General features: G+C 37.9%; 1 protein-coding gene across 4 annotated transcripts in view; it reads right to left on the bottom strand.

Moving 5' to 3' along the window:
* The window catches only part of POTEJ (POTE ankyrin domain family member J), a 46,960-nt gene that overhangs the window by 6,908 nt on the left and 22,607 nt on the right, over positions 1–17,445 (bottom strand). For all 4 annotated transcript variants that reach the window (XM_017004741.3, NM_001277083.2, XM_017004742.2 and 1 more), the window contains 4 exons: positions 12,441–12,511; positions 7,077–7,147; positions 5,349–5,393; positions 4,820–5,001 (listed from right to left, as the gene is read on the bottom strand). In XM_017004741.3, coding sequence (XP_016860230.1) covers positions 4,820–5,001; positions 5,349–5,393; positions 7,077–7,147; positions 12,441–12,511 — 369 coding nt within the window. The remainder of the gene's footprint in view (positions 1–4,819; positions 5,002–5,348; positions 5,394–7,076; positions 7,148–12,440; positions 12,512–17,445) is intronic.

Genomic DNA, 17,445 nt, shown 5'->3' with positions numbered 1-17,445 from the left:
TGTGAGTCCATTACATTTACCACCCTAAAAAAAATAAAATACTAGTGGCCGGATGTGGTGGCTTACACCTGTAATCCACCCAGCACTTTGTGAGGATGAGGTGGGTGGACTGCCTGAGGTCAGGAGTTCAAGACCAGCCTGACAAACAGGATGAAACCCCGTCTCTACTAAAAATACAAAAATTAGCCGGGTGTCATGGCACGCACCTGTAATCCCAGCTCCTCAGGGGGCTGAGGTAGGAGAATCGCCTGAACCCAGGAGGCAGAGGTTGCAGTGAGCCGAGGTCACACCACTGCACTGCAGCCTGGGTGACAGAGCGAGACTCTGTCTCTAAATAAATAAAATACCAGTAAAGCTTGTAATTTCTCTAACTCATTTTACCATAATTGCAATTATCATGATTACCAGTAAAAGAATAGTGAATAACCACAATATTGGGCTTTTCTCCCTAAGTGAAAAAATATTAATATAAAGAATGTAGCTTATTATAAAAAGCCGAAAGAATTTTTAAAATACATATAATTACCAGGCAAAATTGTTAAAATGAACCTTGTCAAACATTTTTTAAGTGAGAATCAATCAAACAATATACCTGGGATAAACTCCATTCATTCATTTAATACCTATTTATTAGGTAGCTACGTCTGATAGGCTAGGCCTTTTTCTAGGAAGTGAGGATATGGTAATGAACAATAAAAACCCTATTCATGAGAGTGAGATAAACACACAATAACAACAGACAGATACGGCAAAATACACAGTACGTTAGAGGAGAAAAACTAAAGCAGGAAAATGAAATCTTTATGTGTTTGATGGGAAGGGTGGTGGGAAAGTTGGGATGGCCAGAAAAGTCCCTGCTGAGAAAGAGGATTTTTCTTTAATACAAAGAAACTTTTATTTGTACATCAAAGACTCTAAAAAATGATGATGTTAACAGAGTTGATGTCAAGACACAAATAGGTTTGAAGTTAGAGATGATAAATCACTTTGTTTCATTGAAACTTCCCTCAATTACGTTAGAGAGCATCCCTGGTATGTTCCCAATTGAATCTGAAGCCTGACGTGTCCTGATGATACAATCCTAATTCCTTTCTGTTAGTCCTCATTATCTCTCTTTTTTTTCATTTTCTTCATTTTCTCTGGGCTAGGAATTGTGCTGGTACATGGTTCTCCCTCAGGAAGTGGTTATTCCTTAATGGGTTTCTTTTTACCCTTTTTCTTCTTCTTAGAAAGGGGATTTTAAGTAAAGAGCTGAAGTAATGGAAACAGTAAGCTAGAAGAATATCTGGGGAAAAAGCATTCCAGACACAGGGAACTGCTAAGTGCAGAGGTGTGCCTGGAGTCTTTAAGCACTAAGGGATAGGTAAGGAATAACAACAAGTTCAGTGTGGCTGAAACACAGCAATAGAGATAAGAAACAGAAGTTTCAGCAGGAGAGGTAACATGCCAGATGGTTTACTGCCTTTCAGTTATTAGGAGGAACTCTGCCACATACTCAGAGTGAAATGGGAGGCAATCAGAAGGGCTGGGGCAGAGGAATGACAACATTTGACTTATGTTTTAAATACATCCACTGAGATAAGAATTGATGAAAGGGGAAGCTTTTAAAAACCAGGACTATCAATTCTCAGTCTATGACACTCATCTAAACTGCAGATGACGGTGGCTCAGTTGTACAAGATAGACTGGCCTCTGGATATATTCTTCAGATAGACCTGACAAGATTTACTGAGAGATTAGATGTGAAGTGTCAGGACAGAGAGAAAGATCAGTCAAGAATGACACTGAGGTTTTTGGCAGAGCAACTGGAAGAGTTGCTGTTAACCAAAGTAGGAAAGACTACATGAGGTGTAGATTTCAGGAAGGACATCAGTAGCCCAATTTTGGATCTGACAAGTGTGTGATACCCAACAGCTAATCAAATAGAGATGTCAAGTAGGTGGGATGATATAGAGATCTGGAATTAAGGAAAGAGATCTAAGTTGGAGACATACATTTGGAAATCACTAGCATATACACAGTAGAAAAAGTCATGAGGGGCCAGGCACGGTGGCTCACGCCTGTAATCCCAACATGTCATGAGGCCAAGGCGGGCAGATCACCTGATGTCAGGAGTTTGAGACCAGCCTGGCCAACATGGGGAAACCTGTCTCTACTAAAAATACAAAAATTAGCCAGGCGTGGTGTCGCACACCTGTAATCCCAGCTACTCAGGAGGCTGAGGCAGGAGAAGTGCTGGAACTCATGAGGCAGAGGTTGCAATGAGCCAAGATCATGCCACTGAACTCCAGCCTGGGGGACAAAGCGAGACTCTGTCTTAAAAAAAAAAAAAAAAAAAAAAAAAAAAACTATGAGAAAGAAGATTGAGGACTGAGCCATGAGAAACAACAATGTCCAAAAGGAGAAAGATGAGGAGCAGCAAGCAAAACAGACCATGATAAACGGACTAGAAAGGCAGGAGGAAAAGCCTGAGGGAGTGAGGTCCTGAAAGCCAAGTGAAGACGCCATTAGGGAGGAGATGCCCTCCATTGGCTCAAATATTGCTGACAGATTAAATGAGATGTAAGAAAAATGCCTAGATTTAGTACAGAAAAAAATTAGTGATAATCTTGAGGAAAAACAACTCTGGAGGAGTGCTGAAATTGAAGACTTACCGGCATTGAGATCAAGAGTGAATGGAAAGAAAATTTGAGTTCATGAGTGTAGACAGTTCTTTAAGGACAACATACTTAACGCTCATGACTGAGAATGATGTAATTTTCATCCACAGTCATGGAAAAGTGATAGACAAGAAATAGTAGCTTCCAAATTTTACATAACAGGTGGAGTTTTCAAATTTTATGTAACAATTATATATTCTAAAGGTTATAAAAATTATACACATATGGCATTTAGAAATGTCAGACCAAGGTTTTAAAGGCCCTTTGCACATTTCTAGATTACATAAGCTGATTATCATTTTGTTCATGCTTATACATAAAGACCAAGAAATACTAAAACTCTCAAGGAGAATATTTCTTGCTTGATAAAAATCAGCCAATTCTAGGACAGTTGACACTCATCAAATATATGAAGTAATTGATCACAGTAAAATACTGAGTTCTATTAACAGGAATAAAGTGGGAGAAATGCAGAAAATAATCTTATTTTATAAATGTAGTTTTCAAAATCATATGAAGTCACTGGAAAAATACGGTGAGGTGAATACTGAAATATATCCTTTTCTCAAAGGGAGGATAATGTCACACATGCAGGGCACTTTTACAAATAAAAGTCACTGCATTAGCAGCACCTTCCTTTTAGCACAAGGGTCAGCAAATAAGCACCTGTGGGCCAAATCCAGCCCACTGCCCGTTTTTGTAAGTCAAGTATCTTGGAACACAGCCATGCTTATTCACTTTACAGTCCATAGTGTCAGTTAGCTGGGTGTGATGTTGCACACCTGTGGTCTCAGCTAGTAGAGACTGAGGTCAGAGGATCACTAGAGCCCAGAAAGTCGAGGCTGCAGTGAGCCATGATCACACAACTGCACTCCAGCCTGGGAAACAGAGTGAGACCCTGTCTCAAGAAAATAAATATATGTAGTCCACAAAGCCTAAAATATTTACTAACTAGCTCTTTGCAGAAAAAGCTGGCCAACTCCTGGTTTAGTAGATCAAAGATTCTTTGATGTATTTTAATAAAAGTTTTACCAAATATACTGAAATGTTTATATTAAATATAGATCCCCATGTACAATCCCTTGGCAATATTCAGATTGAGGGTCCAATATTTCAGCACTCAGGCACTGACAACAAAAATTTAGTAACTAGCAATCTTGTTGCTAACAAGGTACAGTGTCAATGTAGCATGTAGCTTCCATTTGCAACACAGCAGATATTACAAGAATTTTAACAAGAACTCTTAAGATGTGTCATCAAACTAAACGCTTTAAATACATTTTAATTGTGAAATAATCAGTATACCCTACATCTAACCTCATTTTTTTAAAATGGTTGCATAATACATTATTTTGGGGATACGGAAATTGAGCTATTTCCTATTGATAAGCAATTAGACTAGCTCCAAATTTTTTACATAATAATACTATAATAAATGTCCTTATACATAAGTATACATATAACATATCTATACAAATATCCTTTACATGTATTATATATGCTTACTCTGTTATATATGTGTGTGTGAATATGCTACTCAATTAATGTTCAAAATGTATTTACCAACAGTATATGAAATGTCTTTTTCAATGAAACCATTTCCCCTGCAGCAACACGGATGGAGCTGGAGGCCATTATCCTAAGAAAACTCATGCAGGAACAGAAAATCAAATGCCACATATTCTTACTCATTAGTGGGAACTAAACATGAGAACTCATGGACACAAAGAGGAGAATAACATACACTGGGGCCTACTTGAGGGAGGAGCATGGCAGGAGGGAGACGACCAAAAAACTACCTTTCGAGTATTTTGTTTATTATGTGGCTGGTGAAATAATCTGTACCCCAAGCCTCCATGATACAGTTTACCTATATAATAAACCTGCACACGTACCCCGAAGCTAAAATAAAAGTTCACTGAAAAGAGAAGAAAATGCCTTTTCCCTCACATTTGTCAATACTGGTTATTTTTCAAATAAATTAACGACTGGAAAAAAAACGGTAACTGATTGTTTGCTGATTTTCATTTTTCTGATTAACAGGCAAGGCTCAATATCCTAATAAAAGTATAAAATTTGTTCATCATGAATATTAGCTCAAATTAGGATTAGTTTGACAGCACAAAGTTACCTCCTGTTCAATGTTGCCATAGGCTTACCTGTGATACTCTTCATTCTCAGTGTCAGGAAATTGCTGGCTTTCAGGTGTTCTGCTCTTCCTTGGAGGAATTAATCCATCATCACCATTGCCAGCAGTGGCACCATTAGTCAGGTTTTCTGGGAATCCGACGTGAGTACTTCCGTGCTTCTTCATTTCTTCGATAGCCATAAAATTTTCTAGCTGGAAAATACAGAGAATAAGAAATTATCTACTTTAGGCACATTATCTACTGATAATCAGACTAAAACCAAGAAAGATAAAATAATTGGTCTAAAGTTCCTAAAGTGGCATTACCTAGCATTTTATGGCACCATTCGGGATTATTCCATAATAATGAAAGAATAGCTCTAGGGTTTGCACCTCTTCAAAATTCAATGTACAGAATTCTGAGTTAACTATTTAATTTTTCACTGATGATTTATGCTACTTACATGATAGGATCATGTATGCCTACATTTACTACACTTTGTTAAACAACATAATGTAAAAATCTAATTCAACACAAACATTTGAATATAAAGGTATACCTCTCTATCACCATCCTTATTTATTTCTGGTTCTTGAGATCTTTTCTGCAGATGTAAAAACAGAAGGTTAATTTGCTTGTTGTATTTCTGTGACATTTCCTCTTTTGGAGTGCATGTTTTTAAAATAATTTTATTCTGAAGTAATCAAGTATGGACAATAAAAATTAGAAAGTAATTAAAATTAAACTGTTAAAATAAATAAATAATAATTAAAATTAAGAATTAACTTTTTAATCTATGTTTAGCTACTGCCACATCACTGGCTTCTAACATGTGAAAAATAATTCACCTTAGACAAAGGGAGAAGAAAAACATGAACCAGCAAACTTAACTTTCTCACTATTTGTTTGGACTAAATTTAATTTGTTATGTGTTAAATCTACCAAAAATGAATCAGCAGATGATTTGTAGTGTTCCAAAATCTTCCTCACTTGAAAAGAGTTTACCTCATGAAACCCTAACTAGTGAGCACCTACAGTGCACTGAAGTGCTTTTTTAAAAGATTCCTAACTGGATTGTAGGCACCCTTTAAACTATTAGGAGCCGAAATCAACACCAAACAGAAAGAAATGCAAATTCTCACATTTTAATTGAAATTATATACTGTCATATGATAGTGTTATGTATCCAGATTATCTGCGTAAGTCCAGTTCTAATATATTCTAATGTGTACTAATGACAGCAGATAAAATTTTTTAATCTCTACTGATTTTCTGCAACTGAAATAAATTAGAATGTTATTGTGTTTGTGCACTAACACCAAAGGTCCCATTCTGCAAGATATGGTTCTTGTAATAGGCAGTTGGGTTGCTTTTATGACCTGGTTCCCTCCCTGAACAGAAACACTGAGGTCAACGAGAGACCACAAGGCAGGATATGTCCTTAACCTTGGTATCAGTGACTGACAATATAAAACTGTGGATTTTCAATCACAGGCCATGATTACTCTTTAACCATGAATCCAGCTCAGGGAATCAGTGTTACATTGTTCATAATTCCTATTGCTTAATAATATGATTCAATCATTGATGTTACTTTCTTTATCATGTTAGGGTGTTGTAAAAATAAAAGAACAAACAAAGTTCTGAAATTTGTTTTTGCCTCTATTCCAAAAGGAGAGATTAGCTATAAGCTAATCAAGAAGGCAGATAAGAATATTTTAAAATAAGAGTATTTTAAATTTTATAGTGGGTTATGTTGAAGTTAAATATCAAATATTAAATTAGAATCTATTGATTCTTCTGTTAACAAGGTTGCTGATTTTATTACAATAAATTTTAAGAATCTATTAAAATATATATATATATTTTTTTCAGATGGAGTCTCGCTCTGTCACCCAGGCTGGAGTGTAGTGGTGGATGTCGGCTCACTGCAAGCTCCCTCTCCTGAGTTCATGCCATTCTCCTGCCTCAGCCTCCCGAGTAGCTGGGACTACAGGCACCCGCCACCACGCCCAGCTAAGTTTTTGTATTTTTACTAGAGACGGGGTTTCACCATGTTAGCCAGGATGGTCTCGATCTCCAGACCTCGTGATCCACCTGCCTCAGCCTCTCAAAGTGCTGGGATTACAGGCGTGAGCCACCTTGCCTGGCCAAAAGATTCTTAAAAAAACAATCTACTGATTCTCAAAGCCTAGTCTGAAAGGTAATTTCATTTGGACTATCTACTATTATTAAGGCAAAAAACACACAACATTAAACAAAAGTTTAAATTTAAAAGTTTCCATGCCTCTGGCTGGCCATTTTCACTGCCTTTAAGCCTTTGTGACTCTTCCTCTGATGTCAGCTTTAAGTCTTGTTCTGTTGAAAAATCCATATATTCAGTTAAAATCAACCACTTAGAACAGTTAAAAACTATTGCCTTTTAAAAACGGATTTGAGACATTTCATTTTATTTCATAAATTGAGTGTTTCATCTTTTGTGAAATTGTCATTTAAGAAATAATTCTCAAAAACTTCAAAAACCCACTTGGGGAGATACCAGATGTCACCAGATTGAAGACAAACAAACATGTCAAAAATTCCCTCACAAATTCATCCACCCAACATCCATGAACAAAACCACCAGAAACACAGCTTTAAAATACAGTAGAAACATATAAGGTGACACAGTGTACTGTTCTCCACTTCCTAATAGTACCTTATAAATGATTTCCAAAATCACTGCTGACACCTTTATTAGTGTACAACATCTTCCTAATATCTAAAATGTTTCCCTCCACTATTCTGACAAATTTATTTTCTTTTTTTCTTTTTTTTTTTTTAATGAGTCAGGGTCTTCCTCTGTCACCAGGCTGGAATGCAGTGGCATGATCAGCTCACTGCAACCTCCGCCTCCCTGGTTCAAGTGATTCTCCTGCTTCAGTCTCCTGAGTAACTGTGATTACAGGCAAGCACCACCACACCCAGCTGATTTTTGTATTTTTAGTAGAGATGGGGTTTCACCATTGGACAGGATGGTCTCGATCTCCTGACCTCGTGATCCCCTCTGAAAGTGCTGGGATTACAGGTGTGAGCCACCACACCTGGCCTTATTTTCATCTTTTGAAACAATGCTATGTGAAGTCTTCCTTCATTCTGCATGTCTTTCCCCAGATAAACAGGTACCTCCTTCCTTGAGGCTGCCTTAGTACTTTACTGATTTTTCTACTGCATCTTGACCACCTAAACTGTACATTATTCCTCCACATGTCTGTCCCCTCTGCTCCAAGACTGCAGGGGAGAGTCTTGCACATCATCTTTGTAAAAACAGTCTTTGTTTTACTCAGAAATATTTTATTGAGTCCTGCTAAATACATGCTAGGCATTAGGGTTTAAAAAGAATTAAAATAAAGCCTGTCAGAGATGGCTTTTCTAGAACACATGCCCAAGCAGAGACTTAAATATTGAGACTAGCCAGATTAAAAGGGGTAGAGGGCAGGAAAGGGTGACGGCATGCCACGCAGCAGCAAGAGCGGGAGCGAGGCCTGAAAGAGTGAAAGTATTTGCCTACAATAGAAGGATGAGTGAGTAGGGCATTGCCAGCAGCTCAGTAATGCCAGAGACAGGGCACACAGGGAAAAGGGCTAAAGATGGAGAGTGGGGCAGAAGTCAGATTATGAAAGCCTTATGTGTAATTTTAAGATGCTTGGACATTAATGTTCAAAAGTGGTCCCGGGTCCTATCTGCATTTAGATATAGATCATTTCAATGCCAAAACCAATATTCCTAGTGAACAATTATTCATTAAGACAAGGTGACAGATAGCTCATGTGGACACAGCTGAGATGATACAATGTAGCAAATACTAAACAATTCTCATGAACACTTGGAAAGTCAGTTCTATAATAAAGTCATACAAATTATACTAAATCAGTAAATATTTGGTTTGGGAAGATGCTTTGTAAAGTTATAGTGCATATGAATACAATTAACAGTCGTGAATTCAGAGCTGTGAAAATAAATCAAAGAAACCACATTGTGTTTGAGTCAGCAATCTTTAGATTTCTATCCAGTCTTTCCATCCAGTCCATAAATTCTAAGTATAATCCTGGTACTCACTCTCAAGTTTACGTTAAATACTATCCCATACAAAAAAACACTCTTTCTCTTACTTCTTTTCATTATGTCCTGCTAAAAAATTCTGATTGGCTGCAGGCGGCAAGAGGGAAAAACACAAAGCACATTTTGCAGAAAATGATTATTTAGAAGTCAGAACTATGACATGAAGCCAAGCAGGGCACTCTAGGACCGAATTTGCTGAGCTGCCTTCATACGCTCCTTGCTCTTTCTTTTCTGGCAGCTGTGACTCACACAGGTCATGGAGAGTATCATTCCCTAAGAGGAACAACTCTGATATTCATCTTCATCTATTAAGTTCATCTGTCCCAATTCTGTGTTCTGTGGATGCTGACTTTCTGTCACAGACGGTGATGCACATGGACATTTATTACTGACTTTCAGATTCTTGGATCTTTGACAAGTCTTATTACTGAGAGTCAAACTAGTAGGATGTGAGTTATAAATGCTGATTATCCAATGACCTACTCAAAATATCCTACACGAATATTCCATTAAACATGCATAGAAAAAAATTAGTCATTCCTGCTGACCTGCTGCTCTTTGCTCTCCTGTATTCACCAGAAAATTTCCTACTCCTTCCTCATGTCCAGGTTAAATACTAGTGTACAATCTGGAAACCTGTACATCATCTGAGATTTCTCTCTGTCCCCCAAGCCTTTCTCATTCAATTATCACTAAATCATATTGACTATACCTCTCTTCTGCCTCTGTTTTATATTCCCACTGCCACTGGGAACACAAACATTTACAAAATGACTTCTATTTAAAAGAAAACTGCCAACTATTAATGTTATTTCTTACAGGAAAAAAATTAAGCAAAACAAGTGAAAAAGGCATAACGAAGGCCAACATAGTAAAATAAGTAACTGAGATTTCTAACATTATTTATTTCACCATGGACGGGTGAAAACCTTATAATACATTGATGCTACTCCAAGGATGTGTGACATGGAAACTATAGCTGACTACTGCAAAAACTTCCTTTGTCTCCTGGTTTCTTTGCATGATTATCTCCCATCAATCCCAGGAAACTATAGGCCACAGGCCAAATCCAATCTGCATTATGGTTTTGTAAATAAAGTTTTATAGGAGCTCAGTCATGCCTGTTTGCTTACATATAATCATGGTGGCTTTCACACTACAACAGCAGACAACAGCACGGTTAAGTAGATATGACAGAGACCACATAGTCTAAAATATTGCCCACCTGGTCCTTTAAAGAAAAAGCCTGCTAACCCATTTTACACCATAACCAGAACGCCTTAATACTCAAATTTAATCTTGTGACTCCCCTGCTCAAATTTCTCCAATGAGCCCCTGCAGCACACATTGTTGGCTCCCTATCAATAGCCATTCCTCATTCTTTCTGGCAGAAAAAACATAAGTCTATTGGGATATTTAATATCCCAATCCCCCTCCTCAGCCTCAGAAACAGAAATGTTTATTCTAAGCTAATCAGGTATTTACCTTCCCAGTGCCTGGTTTGGGAATGAGCATGTGGTATGACCCAGCCAATGAAATGTTACAGGAAGCCCCTTGCATGCTTCTAAGTTTCCTCCCTGTTTAAAAGACACACGTGAAGAAAAGCAGCCCTTGCGATGTTGTGTTGTGAGAACAAGATGTTTGGAGCTGCTGCGGATTAGCCAACCACGAAAGGAGACGTGAATAAAACACTGTCAACAGCACAGCTGAAAGAGGGACAGGTGGGATCCTAGGATATCAATGAATAAAAAAACAACTCTGGTTCCTACTGTTTTAGCCACTGCTCATCTAGTATTTGCAGTCCAAAGCATTCTACCTGGTCAATTCCCATGGCCCACAGGATAAGAGCTACTCATTTCTATAGTATTAAAAAGTCTATCATAAACTTGCCTTAGCTAAGTATTCACCTCACTCCCAACCTCTGGTATCTCACACTTTTGGTAATACCAAAAGTGAACTGCTCAGAAACCCTGCCATGTTCACTCAAGCATCTTGTCTTCTGCACTTGCTGCTCTTCCTCCCAAATGGGCAATCTCATTAGATGTTCCTTCTGGCAAACACACAATCTCACTCCATGTTCCTTCTGCCAAATGTCATTCTTCTGCTTCTTTCCCTGAAAAATTCTTCTCACTCTGCATGCTTACATTAAATCCTGCCTCCTTTCTTTCTAAAGCTTTCACTCCTCATCACATATGTCTGGCACATAATCAATATCACATATAATAAATCATAATTATAAGATTCCAGTGGGCATCTAGCACACAGTAAGCACTGAATAAAGCAGCAAAATAATAAAAATGACAATGATAATAATAACAAGCTCCTGTCTGTGTTTTTGTGTTCTGTAGCCTTAGAAAAACTGCTTAGTATCTAAAAGACATTTGACAGTTATTTGTTAAGTGGACAAGTGAAAACATAAATAAAAATGTTTTCTTTGTAAATTCTGTTGAAAAACCACAGAAATGAAATAGAAACACTTCTGTTGTGAGCACCTTAAAGATTAAAACTACATCTATTCCATCTTGTCTCCTGCAACTTATAAAACCTAACTTACAGAAGCTCTTTGATAAATAGGTAGCCAAATTAAAGGTGTCCTCATACAGTTTGGATTGTACCATGTATTAGGTGTCCACATCCAGGTAGCATACTAGCATTTTTGTTACTGTGAAACATTTTTATATTTTTATTATAATCTGCTGACCCTTGCATTGGGAAAATTGTACATTATGACAATCTTTTGGCAAATGGTAGCAGAGCACCTTCTTCTAACAAAATTACTGTTATCATGACAATTAACCAGCCGGTGGAAGAACACATCTTGTTCCAACAAAGTAAATGCATCTCTTTCAACTTCAAAACAGGAGGAATGAAGTCAGTAATAGTGAGACCTTGTTGGCACAAGCATATGTAACATGACCTGTGCTTCACTGTTCTTTTGTGAACAAAAATTCCTTACTTTTACTTTTTAAATCTATGGTAGGACCTCCCAGAGCAGGGCTCCACAACTCCCAGGCCACAGACTGGTACCAGTCCACGGTCTGTTAGGAACCATGCCACACAGGAGGAGGTGCGCAGCAGGCAAGCCAGGGAAGCTTCATCTGTATTTACAGCCACTCCTTATGGCTCATATTGCAGCCTCTACTCTGCCTCCAGTCAGATCAGTGATAGCATTAGATACTCATAGGAGCATGAACCCTGTTGTGAACTGCCCATCTGAGGGATCTAGGTTGTGTGCTTCCTATGAGAATCTAATGCCTGATGATCTGTCACTGTCTCACTTTGCCCCCAGAAGGGACCATCTAGTTGCAGAAAAATCAGCTCAGAGCTTCCACTGATTCTACATTATGGTAAGTTGTATAATTATTTTATTATATATTACAATGTAATAATAATATAAAGTAGCACAATAAGTGTAATGTGACTGAACAATCCTGAAACCATCCCCACCTTCCCCCAGCCCATGGAAAGATTGTCTTCCACAAAACCGGTCCCTGGTGTCAAAAAGATTGTGGACAACTGACCTAAAGTAATTCACTATCACAAGTCTTACCTGGGTTGCTGTTTTCAGAAGAGTATTTTGGCATCTGTTTTTCTTTGTAGTCAGAAACTAATTCGCAAATTCTATGTATAAAAATATAACAAATAAAATTACTGTTTTAAAATACTGATCTGGAAACTTACCAAATGTAAAATTCTTAGAGTATTTCAAACAATATCAGAATATCAGAACTTAACAGTATTATCCCATCCACTTATGCGTACGTTCTACAAACTTCTCATGAAGCTTCTAATTAAAGAAGAAAAAAAAGTAAGATGAAATACTCATAAATCGAGGGCACTGTGACCCAGTAAATTAACTTGCGTTAGCCTGACATAATAGAAAGTGTCCCAACTCTAAATAAGTCCTAGCTCCATAATGAACAGCTATTTGCTCTTGAACAAGCTGCTTCTCTTAGGCTTAATGTCTTCTTCTACAAAGTGAGGACTATGCTGCCTTATTTTACTAGGTTGTTATAATGATTTAACAAGATAACATTTTTTTAAATGCTCAAAGAAATAGTAAAACAATGGAATAATTTGTTCCTAAACTTTATGACTGAAATTATCTTGGAATCCCAAATAAAACCCAGTGCGAATTTTGTTCATAGGTTCTAATATGCAAATGTTGTAGTTTTCAGGAAACGTTATTAAGTCCTAATTTTGCTTCTTAGCTGTCCTACTCTTTATGGCTTCTAATTCAGGGCATCTCAACTATGTCATAGTTTGTAACTAAATTTTTTCATAAATATCTCATTAAAGTAGATAATGTGATTGTCCACTATTACGGAGTTGATGAATCACGCCAAGGGCAGAAAAACCAATGGATGTTAAGACCTGACTTGGACCAATGATCCTTCTCTACAGACTCAAACTCTCAGCCAGATGTTTGTTACGATGATGCTTTATATACATGTTCATCTCCAGCTGACATGGGAGATGAAAACCCTACTTTTATTTTTTTTTTTAGGTTCCACGAAGAAGTTGCAAGTTGGCATTCTCTAATTTTTAACATACATACTAACAATATATTTTGTACACAACACCCCACACGTTATTTGGCTCTGGTGTCATCTCACAGACCACCTTACATGACTATTTTTATTGCGCAAATCACAATTTCAATGTTTTTGTGGCACCCATTCTGCTTTGATTCACACCATTTCCTTAAAGCTACTCAGCAAACAGTCAAATGACCTTCCAGTGACTGCGCAAAATATAGAATGCTTCAAAAATTTGTGTGGCCGCCTTATGCGAGGGCCAGCTCCTTGGGAGGCTGAGGCAGGAGAAATGCATGAACCCACGTTGCAATGAACTGAGATCGCGCCACTGCACTCCAGCCTGGGCGATACAGCGAGACTCCATCTCAAAAAAATAAAATAAAATAAAATAAAATAGTAAAGTTTGCAATTCCTCTGACTCAGTTTACCATAATTACAATTATGATTACTATTAAAGAATAAATAGTGAATAACCACAATATTGGGCTTTTCTCCCTAAATAAAAAAATTAATATAAACAATGTAGCTTATTATAAAGAGCCAAAACGATTTTAAAAATGCAGACAATTACCAGGCAAAACTGTTAGAAAGAACCATGTCAAACTTGTTTTTTTTTTTTTTTTGAGACGGAGTCTTGCTCTGTCACCCAGGCTGGAGTGCAGTGCAACGATCTCGGCTCACTGCAAGCTCCGCCTCCCGGGTTCATGCCATTCTCCTGCCTCAGCCTCCATAGCAGCTGGGACTACAGGCGCATGCCACCACACCCGGTTAATTTTTTTGTATTTTTAGTAGAGATGGGGTTTCACTGGTCTCGATCTCCTGACCTCGTGATCCGCCTGCCTTGGCCTCCCAAAGTGCTGTGATTACAGGTGTGAGCCACCATGCCCGACCTACGTCAAACATTTTTAAAGTGAGAATCAATCAAACAATATACACAGGATAAACTCCATTCACTTATTTAACAAGTATTTATTAGGTAGCTACATCCAATATGCTAAGCCTTTTTCTAAGCAGTGAAGATATGGTAGTGAAAAATAAAAACCCTATTCATGACAGTGAGAAAAACACACAATAACAACAGACAGATAAGGCAAAATATACGGTATGTTAGAGGAGAAAAACTAAAGCAGGAAAATGAAATGTTTATGTGTTTGATGGGGAGGGTGGTGGGAAAGTTGAGATGGCCAGAAGAGTCTCTGCTGAGAAAGGGTTTTTTTTTTTCTAATACAAAAAACCTTTTATTTGTATATCAAAGACTCTAAGAAACGATGACATAAGGTTAACAGCGTTGATGTCAAGATACAAATAGGTTTGAAGTTAGAGATGATAAATCACTTTGTTTCATTGAACCTTGCCTTGATTACCTTAGAGAGCATTCCTTGTATGCTCCCAATTGCATCTTAAGCATGATGTGTCTGGGTAGTACACGGTTCTTCCTCAGAAAGTGGATGTTCCTTAATGTGTTTCTTTTTACCCTTTTCTTCTTCTTAGAAAGGTGGTTTTAAATAAAGAACTGAAGGAATGGAAAGAGTAAGCTAGGAGGATATCTGGGGAAAAAGCATCCCAGACACAGGGAACTGCCAAGCACAGAGGTGTGTCTGGAGTCTTTAAGCACTAGGGGTAGATACAGGATGGCAAGAATTCAGTGTGGCTGAAGCAGAGCAAGGGAGATAATCAGGAGGAACTTTGACCCATACTCAGAGTGAAAAGGAGGCAATCAGAAGTGCTGGGGCAGAGGAATGACACAATTTGACTTATGTTTTAAATACATCCACTGAGTTAAGAATTGATGAAAAGGGAAGTTTTTAAAAGCCAGGACGATCAATTCCCAGTCTATGACACTCATCTAGACTGCAGATGACAGTGGCTCAGATGTACAAGATATGACTGGCTTCTGGACATATTCTTCAGGTAGACCTGACAAGATTTACTGAAAGATTAGATATGAGGTGTCAGAGGGACAGATGAGTCAAGAATGACACTGACATTTTTGGCAGAGCAATTGGAAAAGTTGCCCTTAACCAAAATAGGAAAGACTACATGAGGTGTAGATTTCAGGAAGGACATCAGTAGCCCAATTTTGGATCTGACACGTGTGTGATACCCAATAACTAACCAAATAGAGACGTCAAGTAGGCAGGCTGATATAGAAATCTGGAATTAAGGAGAGAGATCTGAGCTGGAGACATACATTTGGAAATCACTAGCATATACATAATAGAAAAAGTCACGAGGGGCCGGGTGCAGTGGCTCACACCTGTAATCCCAACACTTTGTGAGGCCAAGGCAGACAGATCACCTGAGATCAGGAGTTTGAGACCAGGCTGGCCAACATGGGGAAATGCTGTCTCTACTAAAAATACAAAAATTAGCCAGGCATGGTGGCACACACCTGTAATGCCAGCTACTCAGGAGGCTGAGGCAGGAGAATCACTTAAACCCAAGAGGCAGAAGTTGTAGTGAGCTGAGATCACACCACTGAACTCCAGCCTGGGGGACAGAGTCAAACTCCGTCTCAAAAAAAGAAAAAGAAAAAGTCAGGAGAAAGAAGATTGAGGACTGAGCCCTGGGAAACAACAATGTCCAAAAGGAGAAAGATGAGGAGGAGCAAGCAAAACAGACCATGATGAATGGACTAGAAATGCAGGAGGAAAAGCTTGAGGGAGTGAGGTCCTGAAAGCCAAGTGAAGACGCCGTTAGGGAGGAGACGCCCTCCACTGGCTCAAATATTGCTGACAGATTAAATAAAATGAGGTGTAAGAAAAAATGCATAATTTACAGAAAAAAATTGTGATAATCTTGAGGAAAAACAATGTTGGAGGACTGCTGAAATTGAAGACGCCGGTGTGAGATTAAGAGTGAATGAAAAGAAAATTTGAGTTCGTGAGTGTGGACAGTTCTTTTAAGGACATCATGCTTAGGAGTCATGACTGAGAATGTTGTAATTTTCTTCCACAGTCATGGAAAAGTAATAGACAAATAGTTTCAAGTTTTATATAACAGGTGTAGTTTTCAAATTTTATATAACAATAATATATTTTAAAGGTTATAAAAATTATACACATGTGGCATTAAAAATGCCAGACTGAGGTGTTAAATTCTTAAAACTATAGAACTAAAAGTCGCCTTGAACATTTCTAGATTACACATAAGCTGATTATCATTTTATTCATGCTTATGCATAAAGACCAAGAAATACTAAAAGTTTCAAGGAGAGTATTTCTTGCTTGATAAAATCAGCCAATTCTAGGACAACTGATACTCATCAAATATACAAAGTAATTGATCACAGCAAAATACTGGGTTCTATTAACAGGAATAAAGTGGGAGAAATGCAGACAATAATCTTATTTTATAAATGAAATTTTTAAAATTATATGAAGTCACTGTGGAAAAATATGGTGAGGTGAATACTGAAATATATCCTTTTCTCAAAGGAAGGATAATTTCACACACGCAGGGCACTTTTACAAATAAGAGTCACTTCACTTGCAGCACCTTCCTTTTAGCACAAGGGTCAGCAAATTAGCACCTTGGGCCAAATCCAGCCCACTGCCTGTTTTTGTAAGTCAAGTATTTTGGAACACAGCCATGCTTATTCACTTTACAGTCCATAGTGTCAATTAGCTGGGTGTGATGTTGCACACCTGTGGTCCCAACTAGTAGAGAGGCTGAGGTGGGAGGATCACTAGAGCTCAGAAAGTCAAGACTGCAGTGAGCCATGATCACACAACTGCACTCCAGCCTGGGAAACAGAGTGAGACCCTGTCTCAAAAATAAATTAATTTATATAGTCCACAAAGCCTAAAATATTTACTAACTGGCTCTTTGCAGAAAAAGCTGGCCAACTCCTGGTTTAGCAGATGAAAGATCCTTTGATATATTTTAATAAAAGTTTTACCCAATATACTGAAACGTTTATATTAAATACAGATCCCCATGTACAATCCCTTGGCAATATTCAGATTGAGGGTCCAATATTTCAGCACTCAGGCACTGACAATAAAAATTTAATAA

Source organism: Homo sapiens, chromosome 2 (genome assembly GCF_000001405.40).
Source record: "Homo sapiens chromosome 2, GRCh38.p14 Primary Assembly".
NCBI classification, from domain to species: domain Eukaryota; kingdom Metazoa; phylum Chordata; class Mammalia; order Primates; family Hominidae; genus Homo; species Homo sapiens.
The sequence above is the reverse complement of the archived record's forward strand: the minus strand, read 5'-3'. Positions and strand labels throughout refer to the sequence as shown.